Below are 17736 nucleotides of genomic sequence, written 5' to 3'. Positions count from 1 at the left end.
TGGGTGTTTGGGAATGTTGTTAATTTGGAAGGTAAAATTATTTTCCTTTGGTTCCTGACTGACAATAATGGTAGTACTATTAAATTAACAGGTTATTTGCAAGGGACCCTTGTGTCAAAATTTCAGGTCAAGTTAAATACCATAGAGATAATTTTTACATAATTAAAAAGGACATGTTCTGGAAACGTTTCCTGAACCCTATTCACATCAATCCTCCAAGAATGTGCTGTGCTCTCTCTCAGTTCTGAGGCTTTCAGCATCCTCATCCCTCCACATGAAATGTCCTTCCCACACGCCCTTTGCCTGGCCAACTCTAGAAGGACTGAAGGATCATAAGAAAAGGAAAATGTTTTGGGGGTAATACAGAAAGGGAGGTCTTGGAGACTAATAGAAAAGCTTATTTGGGGCACAATGTTTGTGAGCAACTTGTTCGATATAAAAATGACAGTGATTTCAATGTAGACAGTCATAGTTAAGGAAAGGTTTTTAGGAGAAAGTACATATATATGTAATAAACTATAGGGACTCTTAAGTATAAGAAAGTTATTTTCACAATTTAGAAAAATATGTTTCCATTTGTAAACATTAAACCTTCTGCCCTTTGTTGAACAGAAAGCAAGATCAGTTATAAGTGGTTGCACACACAAACTTGAGGTTGTTCCCATGAAGAGAGTCACCTTTGATTCTGCAAAACTGATGTGAACCAGATATAGCTCACTGACTTTTTTGTCTGTATTACTCTATCGAAAAGGTCTTCTCTAGTGGCTCAGCTATAAACCAGCAAAAGTTACTGGGAGAAGTCAGCTAAGCCCATTCCTTGTCTCTATTAGACAAAAGTATGTTGAGAATTAAAAACATTATTTTTGTAACTTAAAAAAAAAGTCAATTTTTATTTTAATTATGGACTGTAAGATCTAAATATTTCACCTCTAAAATTTGATTATTGAGGTTGCCAGCACTCTGTCCCATCTGAAGGGTCTATTGTTAAAATTTTGATATTTTACAAAAGATGTAACCAACTATGGCTTGTTACCATTCTTTATTAATGATGTTAATAACATGTTAGGAAGGGGCATGGTCATACTCATACTATGACAATATTGTATCTGCTTGCAAAGATGAGACCCACAGAAAGAATTTTCATGTTAATGAATTAATGCATTTAGGTATTTGATTATTCTTTTTCATAAGCCCGTGTTGCCTGCCTTTTATAACCCAAAAGGCTGCCCTTTATTTCCAATATCAGCTTATTTGGAGACCTGGGGAAAATAATTTTTCTGAATATGCCCAGGATGATGGGCACTGAAAGTTCTGATAAGTCATGCCAGTGAACGAAAATGAATCACTAACATGCATATGAAGAAACAGTTCACTACCAGAGACAAGTCTTACATAAGCATACCATGGGGTTGAATTAGAGAACTATTCTCACTGCAGGGTTAAGATGCTGCAACTAAAATAAAATAAATCTTTCCTTTGTTCCTCCAGACTACCTTTCTTTTCACTTAAGTAGAAACCCTAGATCCAAGGGCTTCTGATCTCCCACCATACTTTGATTGGCCAGGAAGGGCTCCCATTTGTTCCAAAATCCTTTTTGAAAATTAGAGGACAGTTCTTGAAGAATGGGGGTCTGCTGAACATAAATTCTCTTCTTCAAACAAAATGAATAAAGAGTGAAGGCACTTTGTTAAGTGCTCATCAAACAGCTTGGATCCAACCCTCTGCATGAGTTTCTTCTCCTGAGAAATGCAAATTTAATATTGTTCTATCAGGAAGATTACAAAGCTTATTAGCACCTCTCTGAACAAGAAAGAGTTAAGCCTATTTTCTAAAGGGCAGAGATCTGTGTATCACATTTAAAGATGGATACGGATGTGAGGGTACTGTCTAGATGCTTTTGCTGAAAAGCTTTGATGGGATTTTCCATTATAACAACATTTTCTTTTTTTTTTTTTTCTTGCCTCTGAAATTTTTCCTTACCTTGCTTTCCCCCGACTGGGTGGAAAACCATTCCAGGATATTATGAAAGTGAAGAGTGTCTATGGTTTCAATTTTATGGGTCATGAGAAAGAAATGAAATGAATGAGATTGCCTGAACACTTTGTTCTAGCTACTTGAGGAAGTATTAAGCTTCATTTCAAAGGTAACAACCACAGCCAATGAAAAGGTGAAAGAGAGAATGGGATTTTTGTCTTTATATAAGAAAAAACATTATGTGTGTTATTGCTGCCATGTTTTCCATCATTAGAGTGGAAAAAAAATAATAATTTGACTAGAGTAGAAGATCTTAAAATTCCACTTTAGCCCTCAAATTTTATGATTTTATTATCTTGGATGAGTATTAAATGTAGAAGAGGAAAGAATTATACTAATATATAAGTAACTACTATCTCAATATGGCAGGCAAAATGAAAAATGGCAAATATTCATGACTTCTTTTACTGCACGTTACAGGCAAGTAGGTTTTTAATCATCCTATCAATCCTGTAAAGTCAGTGCTATTACTGAATTCATTTTCCAGAGAAGGAGTGAAGGCCCAGGAAGTTCAACACTTATCCTGCAGTGAATACAAGAATATGAACTCACTGGGTGTGGTGGTTCATGCCTGTAATCCCAGGACTTTGGGAGGCTGAGTCAGGAGAAATGCTTGATCTCAGAAACCCAGTCTCTACCCAAAACAAAAAATTAGTGTTTGTTGCCATTGCTTTGGTGTTTTAGTCATGAAGTCTTTGGCCATGCCTATGTCCTGATGATTTGTTGATGGGAGCAACAAGCAACCATGGCATGTACATACCTATGTAACAAACCTGCATGTTCTGCATGTGTCCCAGAACTTAAAGTGTAATTTAAAAAAAAAAAAAAACCACCAGAAAACCTCCTAAAAAAATTAGCTGGGCATGGTGATGCATACATATGGTCCCAACTAATCAAGATGTTGGGGTGGGAGGATCATCTGAGCTTGGGAGTTGGAGGTTTCAGTGAGCCGAGATCGCACCATTGCACTCCAGCCTAGGTGACAGAATGAGATCCCCATCTAAAAGAAAATATATATGTATATTAATTCAAGCTTTGGGGGTCTAGAATCTCTACTCTTAGCATAGCACTGGCTAGTCTCAAAGTGTGATCCAGAGATTCTTAGGGATCTCTGGGACCAAACAGACTCTTTGTAGCAGTAAGATACCAATGTGACAGATAGCAAGTCCTGACAGAAATTGAAGTTCTTTACCCCAAAATACATTTCGCTGACATATTTCAAAATAGCCCCCAAAGAGGAGCAGAAAATCAAACGCTGCATGTTCTTTCTCATAAGTGGGAGCTAAACATTTGGTACTCATAAACATAAAGATGGCAACAATAGACACTGGGAACTACTCGGGGGAAAGTGGGAGGTGGTCAAGGAGTGAAAAACTATCAGGTGCTATGTTCACTACTTGGATGACAGTATCATTAGAACTCTAGACCTCAGCATCACTTAATATACTCATGTAACACACCCGCACACGTACTCTCTGAATCTAATTTTTTTTTTTTTAATCATTTTTTGAGCCACTAAATTCATGGTCAACTATTACAACAGACATAGGAAACAGGCACATCAGCCCTGTTCCCTTGAGAAAATAGCTTCAGCTTTCTGTGTCTCACATTCCCACAGTGTTTCCATGTGAGTATTATGTGGAACGATTATCACAAGCACTGAGCCTACCACCTGCAAGATAGGCAGTTTTCCTGTGGCCCTTATATGACCAACACCTCCCGTTGAGGGATAGAGACCAAGTGCTCCAGTATAGGGCTCAGACAGGCCAGGGCTGAAGTCACTCAAGCTGGGCAGGTGACCCATGGCTGGGGAATAAACACTGCTTCCTCACCTTTTATAACAAACAGAGCATAGAGCTAAGTGGCATAGAAGTAGCCATCAGGAAGTTAGCCTGGGGCCAAAGGGAATGGAGTTGAAGTTCAGCTACTCTAAGAAAGAGACTGTTTTAAACAATTGGTGTGAGATAAGTGAGAATGGAGCCAATGGAAAAACACTCATTCCTCACAGGGGTATCATGTGTGAGTCACAGTGGAAATAAGTGCCACAGTGGAAATAAGTCAATTTAGGAGGTAAATTACTAGAGACAGAGGTTTCAGGGATCCTGAAGCAAATCTCCATTGTTAAAAGCTCATCTCTCTCTCTCTCTTTTTAATCTTTACAGGAATGCCTCCTGTTATTGTATTCTGCTCCAGTGTGTTTTTCAGATGTTACATTATTTATCTATGTATGTATTTGTTTATGTATTTGTTTTTATTTATTTTAGGTTCAGGGGTACAAGTGCAGGGTTTTTATATAGGTAATCTGCTTGTCTTGGGAGTTTGGTGTGCAGATTATTTCATCACACAGGTAATCAGCATAGTACCTGATATGTAGTTTTTCAATCCTCTCCCTCCTCCCACCCTCCACTCTCAAGTAGGCCCCAAGGTCTGTTGTTTCCTTCCTTGTGTCCATGCGTACTTAAAATTTAGCTTCCCCTTATAAGTGACAGCATGCAGTATTTGGTTTTAGGATCTTGCATTAATTATTTTAATATAATGGCCTCCAGCTCCATCCATCTTGCTGCAAAGGACAGGATCTCTTTCTTTTATATGACTGCTTGGTGTGTATGTATCACATTTCTTTTAATCCAGTCCACTGTCAATGGGTATTTTGGTTAACTCCATGTCCTTGCTATTGTGAATAGTTAAAACATTATTTCTTACAACTGAAGACTGTAGATGGAATTTCTCTTGCTGGCAGGCTCTGCCTTTTGCAGACATTCATATGTTCCATATGTACAGACACTTAGGGAAGATTATCATGGAAGTTCACATCATGTGTTCTAGATACTGTAATGGCCTCCTATGAAAGCTAAAACTCTTCCCCTATTTTATCTTTTCAATATCACCTGAAGGTAATTCTCTGAGAGACATTGTGATTCCTGCTTCACAGAGATCACAACCAACAAATGAGAAGTTTAATTACTTTGCCATCGTTCATTCAGGCAGTTGAAAGCAGAGCTTTGTGAGAAATCATAATGTGTGAATTATAGTCTTCTTTTCCTCTGACCCATCAAACTCATAGAATTTTCACCTGCTTATCCTTCTACTTGATCAAACTCACACCATTTTCACTTTAAATTTAACAACAAAACAAGTGATTCCTATATAAGAAAAAGGAGTAGTTTCATTAATGGTTTGATATACACAAATTGCCCACTTGGGGGCAATATATAAGGGAAGAAGTTCCCCCTATATCTGTATATCTATATCTATATATAGTGAAAAAGTGAGACCTTGTCACACACACACAAAAAAGAAAACCCAAAAAGATACATCCACAGGTAATTGATTGAGTGCCAACAGAAAATGTCTTTTACCTGGGAAAATCTGCCCAGGTAAAAATCTGCCCAAAATCAAAATAGATTTTGATTTGGGTTTCAAAGTAGAAATAAACTTAGGAAAGTTGGAGAATGGAATATGGGGGAAAGAAAAAGAAAAACAGGTGAAGGAGTATGAATTATTTTTCCTGAAAATTTATGAGCAGAGAAAAAGTCTTGGTCTGGTTTAAGTTTAAAATTTGTTACAGTAATTGTCCAATTCACACTTTAAATATCTTGATGGCATGTTGTGGTTGTGTTCCCATAATAGAAGGATGATGGCTGAGTTACTCAATCTCTCCAGGCAAGCATAGAGAGGATTCTCTTACAATGTACTCCAAGACTTGACAGAAACAGCTGCTTGCAAACAAGGCTTCTATTTTTGTCCTTCTGAATGTTACCACACAGCAGGTCAAATAACTGTTAATGGCAAGAGCATATGCTAGTCATTCTTATGCTTGATCTAGGCAGAGGTTCATGTAATATTCTGTTTTTCATTTTTTCTCCTTGAATCTCCTTACCTGGAAATAACACTGATTCTCTGAATTGAGGCAAACCACATTGAAGCATGTGATAATTCATGCGAAATGTTTTCTCACCCAAGATGCTACATTTTCACGTTCCTTGATTTATTCATGCCAGAGACTAAAACGTATGAATTGCAGATGAGTAATGTAATGAGATTTTTTAGGTTCTACCACATATTACTCAATTATTATGAGGGCAAAAATAAGGAAAAATGACCTGTTGATATCAGTTCAAAGAATCCTTCAAAATTATCCTATATAGCCCAGCAACTAGGCATATGCATGGTATGTTCTATAGAATCAATATATAATTGCATGTCTGTCAAATTCAACTGAATGCATGCACAGATAAATGAGACTGATGTGATCTTCTTTCAAAGGTGAAAAGCTGTGAATACCTGCTGGAGGACTAAATACTGATACTATCATGAAGCGGCAGCTTTGCCTACTCTTGGGAAGCCAATGACAATGTTTGCCAACATCATTTGAACATAACTACCTTGTAATAATCTACTAGAGCCAGTCACTACTATTTTTTTTTCATAATGAAAGTATCAATTGCTCTCTGAAAGATGTGTTATTGCATGAGGGAAAGAGATGCCAAAAGCAGTGACTGTAAGAAGCAACCCATAAGCAATATGGACCCAAGCCATGTGTTTGGAATTTTTGTTTAAAGTAAAAACATGCACAAAGAGCAGTTCCTTCCACGCAGCCATCAGGGAATTTTAAAAGCATTTCTCTGCACATGGAAAAAAAGTCTGCATTCTTGAACATTCTGAAAAATGTGATCCCCCACCCCACACTTCTGCAGAAGACATCTATAGAGTTCATCTATCCATTCCACTGACATTTATTACTTGTCTGTAGGCAGAGAAAAAGAGAGGGAGGAAGAGCCTTCTTCAGAGTGACCTTGATTTGGGAGAGGGATGGAAATGAAGCCAGAGATAGAATTTTAACTGTTCTTTTCTGAGAATACAGGAAATATTTTACAATAAGGCAAAGGCAAACAACTCTAAACTCAGCAAAAAGGAAATCTTAAGGAAGTTATTCTGATCCCATCTAAAGGATAGTATTTTAGGAAAAAGAGAGGAAATACTCAAGGAGAGAAGGAGACAGAGAAAGAGAAATCTGAGAAGGGTTCACTGTTTATATCAGTCCATTTTCATACTGTTATGAATAAATACCCAAGAGTGGGTAATTTATAAAGAAAAAGAGTTCTAATGGATTCACAGTTCCACATGGCAGAGGGGCTAATGATCATGGTGGAAGTTGAAGGGGGAACAAAGACAAGTGTTATACGGCAGCAAGAAAGAGAGCACATGCAGGGGAACTGCCCCTTATAAAACCAATAGATCTCATGAGACTTATTTTCTATCACGAGAACAATGCTGGAAAGACCCACCCCCATGATTCAATTACGTCCCACTGGGTCCCTCCCAGAACATGTGGGGATTATGGGATCCATAATTCAAGGTGAGATTTTGGTGGGGACGCAGCCAAACTATAACCCTATTCATTCAGTAGATTCTTATTGAATGCTTACTCCATGGGTATTCAAGGCACTAGGACACAGTGGTGAATGAGGCAGCCCAGATCTCAGCTTCCACAGGAGAAGAACTATGAGCAAATAAAATAATAAACAGGTAAGATATCAGATAGGCAAGCAATTAGAATAGAGTGGTGGGAGAGGCCAAGGACTTTTGATTTGGTGGTCCAGGGAGACCTTACAAAGGCAACATATGAGTGAAAGAGAAAATCCATCCAGAGATGAGATGTGAGTATGAGTTTCTAACAGAAGAAACTGTCAACACAAAGACCCTAAAGTGAGAACAAGATTAATGGGTTGGGGGCCCCAGACAAAAACATGAAGAGAGGAGGAGAAAACTGTACAGTTGGGGTAGCAGACTTCACATTGTATTTTGAGTGTATGGGAAGAAATTGGAGTGAGGTTTTTTTTGTTGTTGTTTGTTTTTTCTCTGTTTGTTGTTTGTTGGGGACAGGATCTCGCTCTATTGTTCAGTGCAGTGATGCAATCATAGCTCACCGCAGAATTGCAATTCTCCTACCTAAGCCTCTCAACTAGCTAGAACTACAGATGTATATCACCACATCTGGTTAATGTATTATTATTATTTTTTTTCTGTAGAAAGAGGGTTCTCACTGTTTTGATGAGCCTGGAGTGCAGTGGAGTAATCATAGCTCACTGCAGATTGCAACTCCTGGGATTAGGTGATCTTCCTACCTCAGCCTCTCCAGTAGCTGGGACTATAGGTGTTCAACACAACAGCCAGCTAATTTTTACATATTTTCTGTAGAGACAAGGACTTACGATGTTGCCCAGGTTGATCTCCAACTCCTGAGCTCAAGTGACCCACCCACCTCAGCCTCTCAAAGTGCTGGGATTACAGGTCTAAGCCACCATGCCTGGTAGATATTTGAGTGTTCGAAGAAAGGAAGATAGCCATGTGAAAATAGAGGCAGAAGTTGGAGTGATATATCTGCAAGTCAAGGAAAGTTAAGAATTAATGGTGAAACAACAAAGGATTCTCCCCTAGAGATTTCATAGGGAGCCCAGCACTTCCAGCACCTTACTTTCAGACTCCTGGCCCCCAGAACTGAGAGAGAAAAAATTTCTACTGCTTTTAAGCCACCCAGTTTGTGGTACTAACAGTTATGTCAGTCCTCAGAAATTCAACAGAGTACATTATGTTTATGAAAGCTCACTCCAGTGTCTGGGTAGAGAATGGAGTGTGAGAACAAAGAATTAGGGAGACCACCAGGAAGCACATTGGAGAAGTCCATAGGGCAGAGCACAGTGGTCTGGACAAGATGGAAAATTGATACAGCTGAAAAAAGAGGACCAATGTCAGATAAACTTAGAAAATAAATGTGATTCCAAAGGATGGGATACATAGGATTTAAAGAAAGGCAAAATAAAACAAGACAATCAACCAGCAAACATCACAGCACTGAGGTTCAGTCACTGCATAAAACATTCAGTAAGATCATGCAAATCTGGGGATGTGTGGGCTTGGGCTAGTTTGCATCTGAGGTCTAGCTTGTATCTGTTTGATATGACATGTTTCCTGAGCTTCCATGCTGTGTGGCAAGTGGGCAGCTGGACATGGCAACATGGACCTTCACAGTAGGTTCCCAGCTCAGTATGTGGGATGCCCTGCAGTTGGATGTCATATGAGGTCCTGGATTTAGATGACATCAGATAGGGCAAGTGTGAAGATAAAGGAGGATGGAGGACAGGGGCCACAGGACAGAGTCCCAGAGATGTCCAACATTGATATCAAGAGGTGGATCAGGTGAGAAGGAGCTGCTGTGAAGGTTGAGAAGGAAATTCCATGAATATGTTTCCACTTCTCTATGCAAAGAGAGTCTCAAAGGCTTATAACTCTGATTTAAACAAGTGAAGCTGGGTATGGTACAACTTGTTCCTTCAATAAGACACTGCAATTCACAGGACTTTTGACTTGAACTCCTTTCTGTTCCACTGCCTTGACACAGATACAAGTGCAAAATGAAGTATCCTCTCAAGACTCACCCACCAGGCTGATCCAAGTATATCCAATACCTATCCAGGGTGCGGGAACATGCTTGAGCCATAATGCAAGTTTTCCAGAAAGAGTTCAGGATTGCGTCAAAATCTTAAATCCTCTGTGAGTTTAAAGCAATGGTTTCTACTCCTGAGATCCCAAAGAAGCAACGTGAACATTTTCAAATGTCTACAGCTCTGATGGAAAATTTTACATTTAACAGCTACAAAGGGTCACAGGGTATGAGTTGTTCTGTGGTTTACTTATTTATCTTGCTGTCTATGAAAATCATAATCACATGGTATGGAACACTGTCAAATTAACTGGAAGCCCTAATGGAGACAATGATTTCTTAATTATTAAATGGGAAGATAAATTATTCCTTAGAAAATTGGTTTTATTAGGTTGACACAATCATTCAAAGCATGTGGACAATAGAAGAAAATTTATTTTAGAAAGGTCTCAGAGGGAAATATTTTAGGAAGTACTCTATAAAGGACTTACTGCCAAGATTTCTAAACTTTGACTAGAATTATATCCAAAATACACATTTGACCCTACTTCTATTTCCCAATTTCACTTTATGCTAGAACATTTTGGCAAAGACAAAATTTACCAATAACCAAATCTAAACAGAATAATCATACTGCAAACTCATTTCCTTAATAAAAAATGAAACTGTCCTGTTATTACTCAGTTACCCCTGTAATATTAAATAATTGTTTTTAAACATAGACTGCAGCAGACATGTAATGCCCCTCTTATTAAAAGGAATAACATGTTGAATTTAATAGAAGGATGATTTAATCCTAGCTATTCTATCAAATTAGCCCATAGATTTGTTTTTTTTTAACAGGAAGTCTGGTATATTTAATTTTATTTATGTTTAACTTTTATTTTAGATTTGGGGATTCATGCGAAGGTTAGTTTGTTACATAGGTAAACTCATGTCATGGGGGTTTGGTGTACAAATTATTTAATCACCCAGGTATTAAGCCTAGTCCTCAACAGTGATCTTTTATGCTCCTTAACCTCCTCGCACCCTCCCCGCTCAAACAGATCCCAGTCTCTGTTGTTTCCTTTTACAAGTTCATAAGTTCTCATCATTTAGTTCCCATTATAAGTGAGAACATGTGGTATTTGGTTTTTTTTCCCTGCATTAGTTTGCTAAGAATAATATCCTCCAGCTCCATCCAAGTTACAAAAGACATTATCTCATTCTTTTTATGGCTGCATAGTATTCCATGTTGTATATATACCACATTTTCTTTTTTTCTTTTTCTTTCTTTCTTTTTCTTTTTTCTTTGAGACAGGGTCTCCCTCTGTCGCCCAGGTTGGAGTGCAGTGGCCCGACCTCGGCTATTACAAGCTCTGCCTCCCGGGTTCATGCCATTCTCCTGCTTCAACCTCTCGAGTAGCTGGGACTACAGGCACCAACCACCATGCCAGGCTAATTTTTTTTCTATTTTTTTTTAGTAGAGATGGGGTTTCACAGTGTTGGCCAGGATGGTCTCCATCTCCTGACCTCGCTATCCACCTGCCTTGGCCTCCCAAAGTGTTGGGATTACAGGCATGAGCCACTGCATGCATGCACCACGTTTTCTTTATCCAATCTGTCATTTGATGAATCCTGTAGATTTCAGTAGGGAAACAGATTTGAGTTAGGAATGCAGTGGAATCAGTAGGTTCAAATGTAGAGGTCACTGCACTGCACTCCAGCCTGGGAAACAGAGCAAGAGTTTCTCAAAAGGAAAAAAAAAAGTTCCAATAGAAAAGAATCTTTGAGGGGTTTTGATGGAGAGTAGAAGTTGTGATTACTCAGAAAAGGAAGCTATTTTGAACAGGTGTTAAATCCCGTGATTTCTCTGTGTCTGCATAAACCATAGGTGTGTGTTTGAGTTTGCAGCTTTAGAGAACAAGATGTCTTGACACTCAGAAGCCTACTTCCCATAACTAGAAGGAAACCCCACCTTATTTTTAGGGCATTGTATTTTAACAATGTTTAACTGTAAATTTAATTTGAACTATGTTTGATAAAAGGATAATATTTTGCAATAGAGCAGTGGTGGAACAGTGACTGAGACATTAATAGTGTCACATATTGATGGTATCTCCAACATTCAAGCAAAACATTTTTTCTAATATATCCAATACATTTCTTTAAAAAAAATAATTCCTGACATACTTGTGGGGTTGTATGATAAAACATGGGTTCCCAGCCATCATTAAAGACCCTCAAGGCTCACTTTCTGACCCATACCTCTTGTGTGTCTGAGCCCTACCAAACTATCTTTGCAAAATGTGATGTCTTTCCTTCTCTGCCCCATGAAGCCTCTCTGGGATTGTCAGTCAGGGGTCACTTCTCCCTGCCCTGAGTCTCCACAGCCTTTTATATGTACACTTCTTCTTTTTTGTTGTTATTATACTTTAAGATTTAGGGTACATGTGCACAATGTGCAGGTTTGTTACATACGTATACATGTGGCATGTTGGTGTGCTGCACTAGTCATTTAACATTAGCTATAACTCCTAATGCTATCCCTCCCTCCTCCCCCACCCCAAAACAGGCCCCGGTGAGTGATGTTCCCCTTCCTGTGTCCATGTGTTCTCATTGTTCAGTTCCCACCTATGAGTGAGAACATGCAGTGTTTGGTTTTTTGTCCTTGGGATAGTTTGCTGAGAATGATGGTTTCCAGTTTCATCCATATCCCTAAAAAGGACATGAACTCATCATTTTTTATAGCTGCATAGTATTCCATGGTGGGTATGTGACACATTTTATTAATCCAGTCTATCATTGTTGAACATTTGGGTTGGTTCCAAGTCTTTGCTATTGTGAATAGTGCCACAATAAACATACATGTGCATGTGTCTTTATAGCAGAATGATTTATAATCCTTTGGGTATATACCCAGTAATGGGATGGCTGGGTCAAATGGTATTTCTAGTTCTAGATCCCTGAAGAATTGCCACACTGACTTCCACAATGGTTGAACTAGTTTACAGCCCCACCAATAGTGTAAAAGTGTTCCTATTTCTCCACATCCTCTCCAGCACCTGTTGTTTCCTGATTTTTTTAATGATTGCCATTCAAACTGGTGTGAGATGGTATCTCATTGTGGTTTTGATTTGCATTTCTGATGGCCAGTGGTGATGAGCATTTTTTCATGTGTTTTTTGGCTGCATAAATGTCTTTTTTTTTGAGAAGCGTCTGTTCATATCCTTCGGCCACTTTTTGATGGGGTTGTTTGTTTCTTTCTTGTAAATTTCTTTGAGTTCACTGTAGATTCTGGATATTAGCCCTTTGTCAGATGAGTGGATTGCAAAATGCAGAAAAGGCCTTTGACAAAATTCAAAAACTCTTCATGCAAAAAACTCTCAGTAAATTAGGTATTGATGGGAAGTATCTCAAAATAATAGGAGCTATATATGATAAACCCACAGCCAGTATCATAGTGAATGGACAAAAACTGGAAGCATTCCCTTTGAAAACTGGCACAAGAGAGGGATGCCGTCTCTCACCACTCATATTCAACATAGTGTTGGAAGTTCTGGCCAGGGCAATCAGGCAGGAGAAGAAAATAAAAGGTATTCAATTAGGAAAAGAGGAATTCAAATTGTCCCTGTTTGCAGATGACATGATTGTATATCTAGAAAACCTCATCATCTCAGCGCAAAATCTCCTTAAGCTGATAGGCAACTTCAGCAAAGTCTCAGGATACAAAATCAATGTGCAACAATCACAAGCATTCTCATACACCAATAACAGACAAACAGAGAGAAAAATCATAAGTGAATTCCCATTCACAATTGCTTCAAAGATAATAAAATACCTAGGAATCCAACTTACAAGGGATGGGAAGGACCTCTTCAAGGAGAACTACAAACCACTGCTCAACGAAATAACAGAGGATATGAACAAATGGAAGAACATTCCATGCTCATGAGTAGGAAGAATCAATATCATGAAAATGGTCAGGCTGCCCAAGGTAATTTATAGATTCAATTCCATCCCCATCAAGCTACCAATGACTTTCTTCACAAAACTTCATAAAATTGGAAAAACACTACTTTAAAGTTCATATGGAACCAAAAAAGAGCCTGCATTGCCAAGTCAATCCTAAGCCAAAATAACAAAGCTGGAGGCATCATGCTACCTGACTTCAAACTGTACTACAAGGCTACAGTAACCAAAACAGCATGGCACTGATACCAAAACAGAGATATAGATCAATGGAACAGAACAGAGCCCTCAGAAACAATGCCGCATATCTGCAACTATCTGATCTTTGACAAACCTGAGAAAAACAAGCAATGGGAAAAGGATTCCCTATTTAATAAAAGGTGCTGGGAAAACTGGCTAGCCATATGTAGAAAGCTGAAACTGGATCTCTTCCTTACACCTTATACAAAAATTAATTCAAGATGGATTAAAGACTTAAATGTTAGACCTAAAACCATAAAAACCCTAGAAGAAAGCCTAGGCAATACCATTCAGGACATAGGCATGGGCAAGGACTTCATGTTAAAACACCAAAAGCAATAGCAACAAAAGCCAAGATTGACAAATGGCATCCAATTTAACTAAACAGCTTCTGCATAGCAAAAGAAACTACCATCAGAGTTAATGGGCAACCTACAGAATGGGAGAAATTTTTTGCAATATATGTACCCTTCTTAAGAAACTATTACTCTCTAACCACTTCTAGCATTGTGATTTATATACACATCTCCTCCTTGGCAGCTGCTAAGCTGTTTTGGAACTGAACAGACAGTAAGAGAGAGAATGAATAAATAGATGAATGAGAGTGTGGAATGCAGCCTGGAACTCCAGTCTTTAGAGACACTGGCATCCACAACATGAAATAAAAACAACTCTCTCCTCATAGGCCATAGCCTCATGGAAATAACACTGAAACAATGATGAGATGGAGCAAGGACCCCTCTTAGGGGTCTTCTGGGCTCCCCCCAGAATGGAAGTAGAGAAAAATCTTGAGTTCCTTCAAGAAAAATTCCAGGCACCTAGCTATCTTTAAAAGATAAATGAGCAAGAAGGTAATGGTAGTGTAAAGCCACAGACAAGGAAGTTAGAGCCACAGAATGTTTGGCTCCCTATAATAATTAAAGATAACATGTTAACATATGTCCAGGGGTTGTTTTTCAGAAACCTGGAATGCTACCAAATGGAAAATGCAGTCTGCTTGGACTTAAACCAGAGGTGAGGAGGAACTGAGGACTGAACTCTCATTGACATTCTTTGTTCCAAATTTCTTCTCAAGGGTCCTGGAAGAAGCCATGACCACAGGCCAGATATCCTGTTTGTTTTTTGCTGACCAAAGCAATCGTTCAGACAAAGCTTCACTTCCTCAACCAACTGCAAATCAGGGAAGCTTTGAAGCCACCTGTGACCTGCAGGTGCCCTTCTTTGGGATGTCCTGCCTTTTGAGGTCAAACGAACATATAACCTCCATGTACTGACTTATGACTGCCTGTAGCCTCTGCCTCCTAGCCTTTAAAAGCCTTTGTTTGCAAACCATCAGGGAAGTAGAATCTTAAGTGAGAGCTGCCTCATTCTACTTGATTGCAACTCTGCAAATAGATACCTTCCTTTCCCCCACTGCAAAAGTTTGGTGTGGATGTTTGGCCCTACTGTACTGGCTGAGTGGATCCTAGTTCAGCCCAGTGACACCAAGTCTTCATATATGAGAAGTACATGTTTCCACTTTTTGTTACTCTAAAATAACGTAGTACACAGAGAAGGGCTGAAAGAGTGATAGCTTACTGGGGTTATTCCTGTTCAGATTAAACACATTTGTTCATTAATAGAACCCACATTACATATTGATAATGCATAATGCATTGAGCAATGTAACAATGAGACCTAAAGGAAGAGGCTGGGAGGATGTCTGAGAAGCCTATAAAGGTCATCCAGATGCAACAGGCATCTTTTTGTGCTAGGTGCCAGGTCAAAAAAGATGTAGGAGTTAGTTCCTTCCCCCATTTGTTCAGCCTGTCACAGGACTCCAGATGTGCACATGCATATGTAAATAGAAGTATATCGTTTCATAAGGTACCTGCGGCCCAAAGGATATGCTACAGAGCACTCTTTCTCTTTGCTTCAGGCGTCGTGTAGTCTGGCCTTCCTGAGCAAATTGCAGTTTGCATGACAAGCTATTTGCTTCTTCTCACTTCCAGCATGTTGAAAGAGAGCAAGGGGTTGGAAAGGCAGAAACAGATAGAAGGAGAATAAGAGCAGATGCACAGACCCACTGGTGACCTCATTTCTAGCCACATCTCCTTTGCAAACATTCCTGGGAACCACCGCCAAGTGAGGCTCTCTTTCCCTTTGTGTCATTAGTATCTTGTGCATACAAGTGTCAGCACCTTTATCAAATTTCACCAGTCTTCTAGGCTTCACGCCATCACCTACCCACCCACCTACTGCAACATGACTTCCTTCAAGGCAGACACCATGTTTGATGTTTAGTGTTGTGTCTGGCCCAATGCCGGAAACACAGAAGATAATCAACATTTCTAAACAAATTGTTAGATAAAAGCATTCCCTATATTATTCTTTCATATCTTTGCATGTAAGCTCTGATACACCCTACCTTCTTGGCTAAGGCATCATCTCTTCTTGTACCTTCAACCCACATCCACTGCAGGTTTGGCTGCAGAGTTCCAACCCTTAGAACTAATACATCATTTTGGGTATCATATCACTTTGTGAAATCAGCAATACTGTGTGTCATGTAATGTCTGTCACATAACATAGACATTAGGTATGTATATATTAGACTTTAGTTAGGCCTAATGTATATAGAGATTAAAGGATAGGTGTGTCTACATACATTTAGATATGTCTAAGTATAAATATTAGATGTTAGATATGTGTGTTTTATGTACCAAAGCATACGCTGTACAAGCCAGAGTCTGGATCTTATTGAATATCTCCAATAACTAGCATGATGCCTGATCCACCATGAAAGTGGCTCAGCTAATGCTGAAAAAAAAAAAAAAAAAGTTAAAAGAAGCATCAGCTTGAAATAGTGTATTGTGGGTTCATGTAGGCTGAATAATGACCTCCCTAAAATACCCTCATCCTAATCCCTGGGATGTTACACCCCATGGCAAACATGTTACACCCCAGGGCAAAAGAATTTGCAGATTAAGTTCATGATCTTGAGATGAGAAGATGATGTGGGATTATCCAGTCAGGCCGAACATAATCCCAAGTGTCCTTATAAGAGGGAGGCGGGTGTGTCAGAGTAAGTGAAGGAGACAAGATTATGGAAGCAAAGATCAGAGACAGACAGGGAGGTGTGAAGACATCCAGTCAACATGACTAATAAATGAACTGGCTCTTTCCTGGAGATACGTTGTTGACTGCACTGACATAATACACACTTTCTTGTTATATGGGAAGAAAAAGAATAAAGTCATGTAGATTTCAGGTTCTAGGTGGGACACCTGCATTTGAACACATGCTCATCCATTATGAATTCTGTAACCTGAGGTGGGTGTACTTAACTTGCAAGCCTCGCTTGCCTTTTTCCTGTGGAATGGGAATGATGAGAACATCACCTGCTGCACAAAGACCACTGGCAGCACAAAATGAGGTTACATGCTGGGACTCAGCAACTGATATCCCCAAAGATGGCATTTTGACATGCTAAACTGAAGAAGCCTCAAGTCTCTAACCTCCCCTTCACCCCCTTCATCTTTTATCTGCCTAAGATCCAGACATCTAACTGATAATGACAAGACATTGTTCATATTTCATTGCTGATAGAATAAGGGATAATAAGGACTAATGTTTTGTCTTCTCTCCTTCATGAATCTCTTCCATCTTCAGACCACAGACTAGACTTCCCCTGCAATGTATCCACTGGCAACTGCAGACATGCACATGGGGGCAAAGATTTTTTTTTTTAAAGAGACAGGTCTCACTCTGACACCTAGACTGGAGTGCAGTGGTAGAATCATAGCTCAACCTCAACCTCCTTGGCTCAAGCCATCTTCCCACCTCAGCCTCCCAAGTAGCTGGAACCACAAGCATGCACAACCACACCTGGGTAATTTTTTTTATTTTTTGTTGAGATGGGGTCTCCCTATGTTGCCCTGGCTGGTGAAGGTGCTTTTTGTATTCTCTTTACCTTTCAGGATCAATGCATTTTTGGTTACCTTCAAAAAACACCATACACTTGCTGTCTCTAAAGGCATCAGAAACATAGGTGGAAATAGACAAGAAAGAAAACACAAGGAAGCAAA

Source organism: Homo sapiens, chromosome Y (genome assembly GCF_000001405.40).
Source record: "Homo sapiens chromosome Y, GRCh38.p14 Primary Assembly".
Lineage (NCBI taxonomy): Eukaryota > Metazoa > Chordata > Mammalia > Primates > Hominidae > Homo > Homo sapiens.
The sequence above is the reverse complement of the archived record's forward strand: the minus strand, read 5'-3'. Positions refer to the sequence as shown.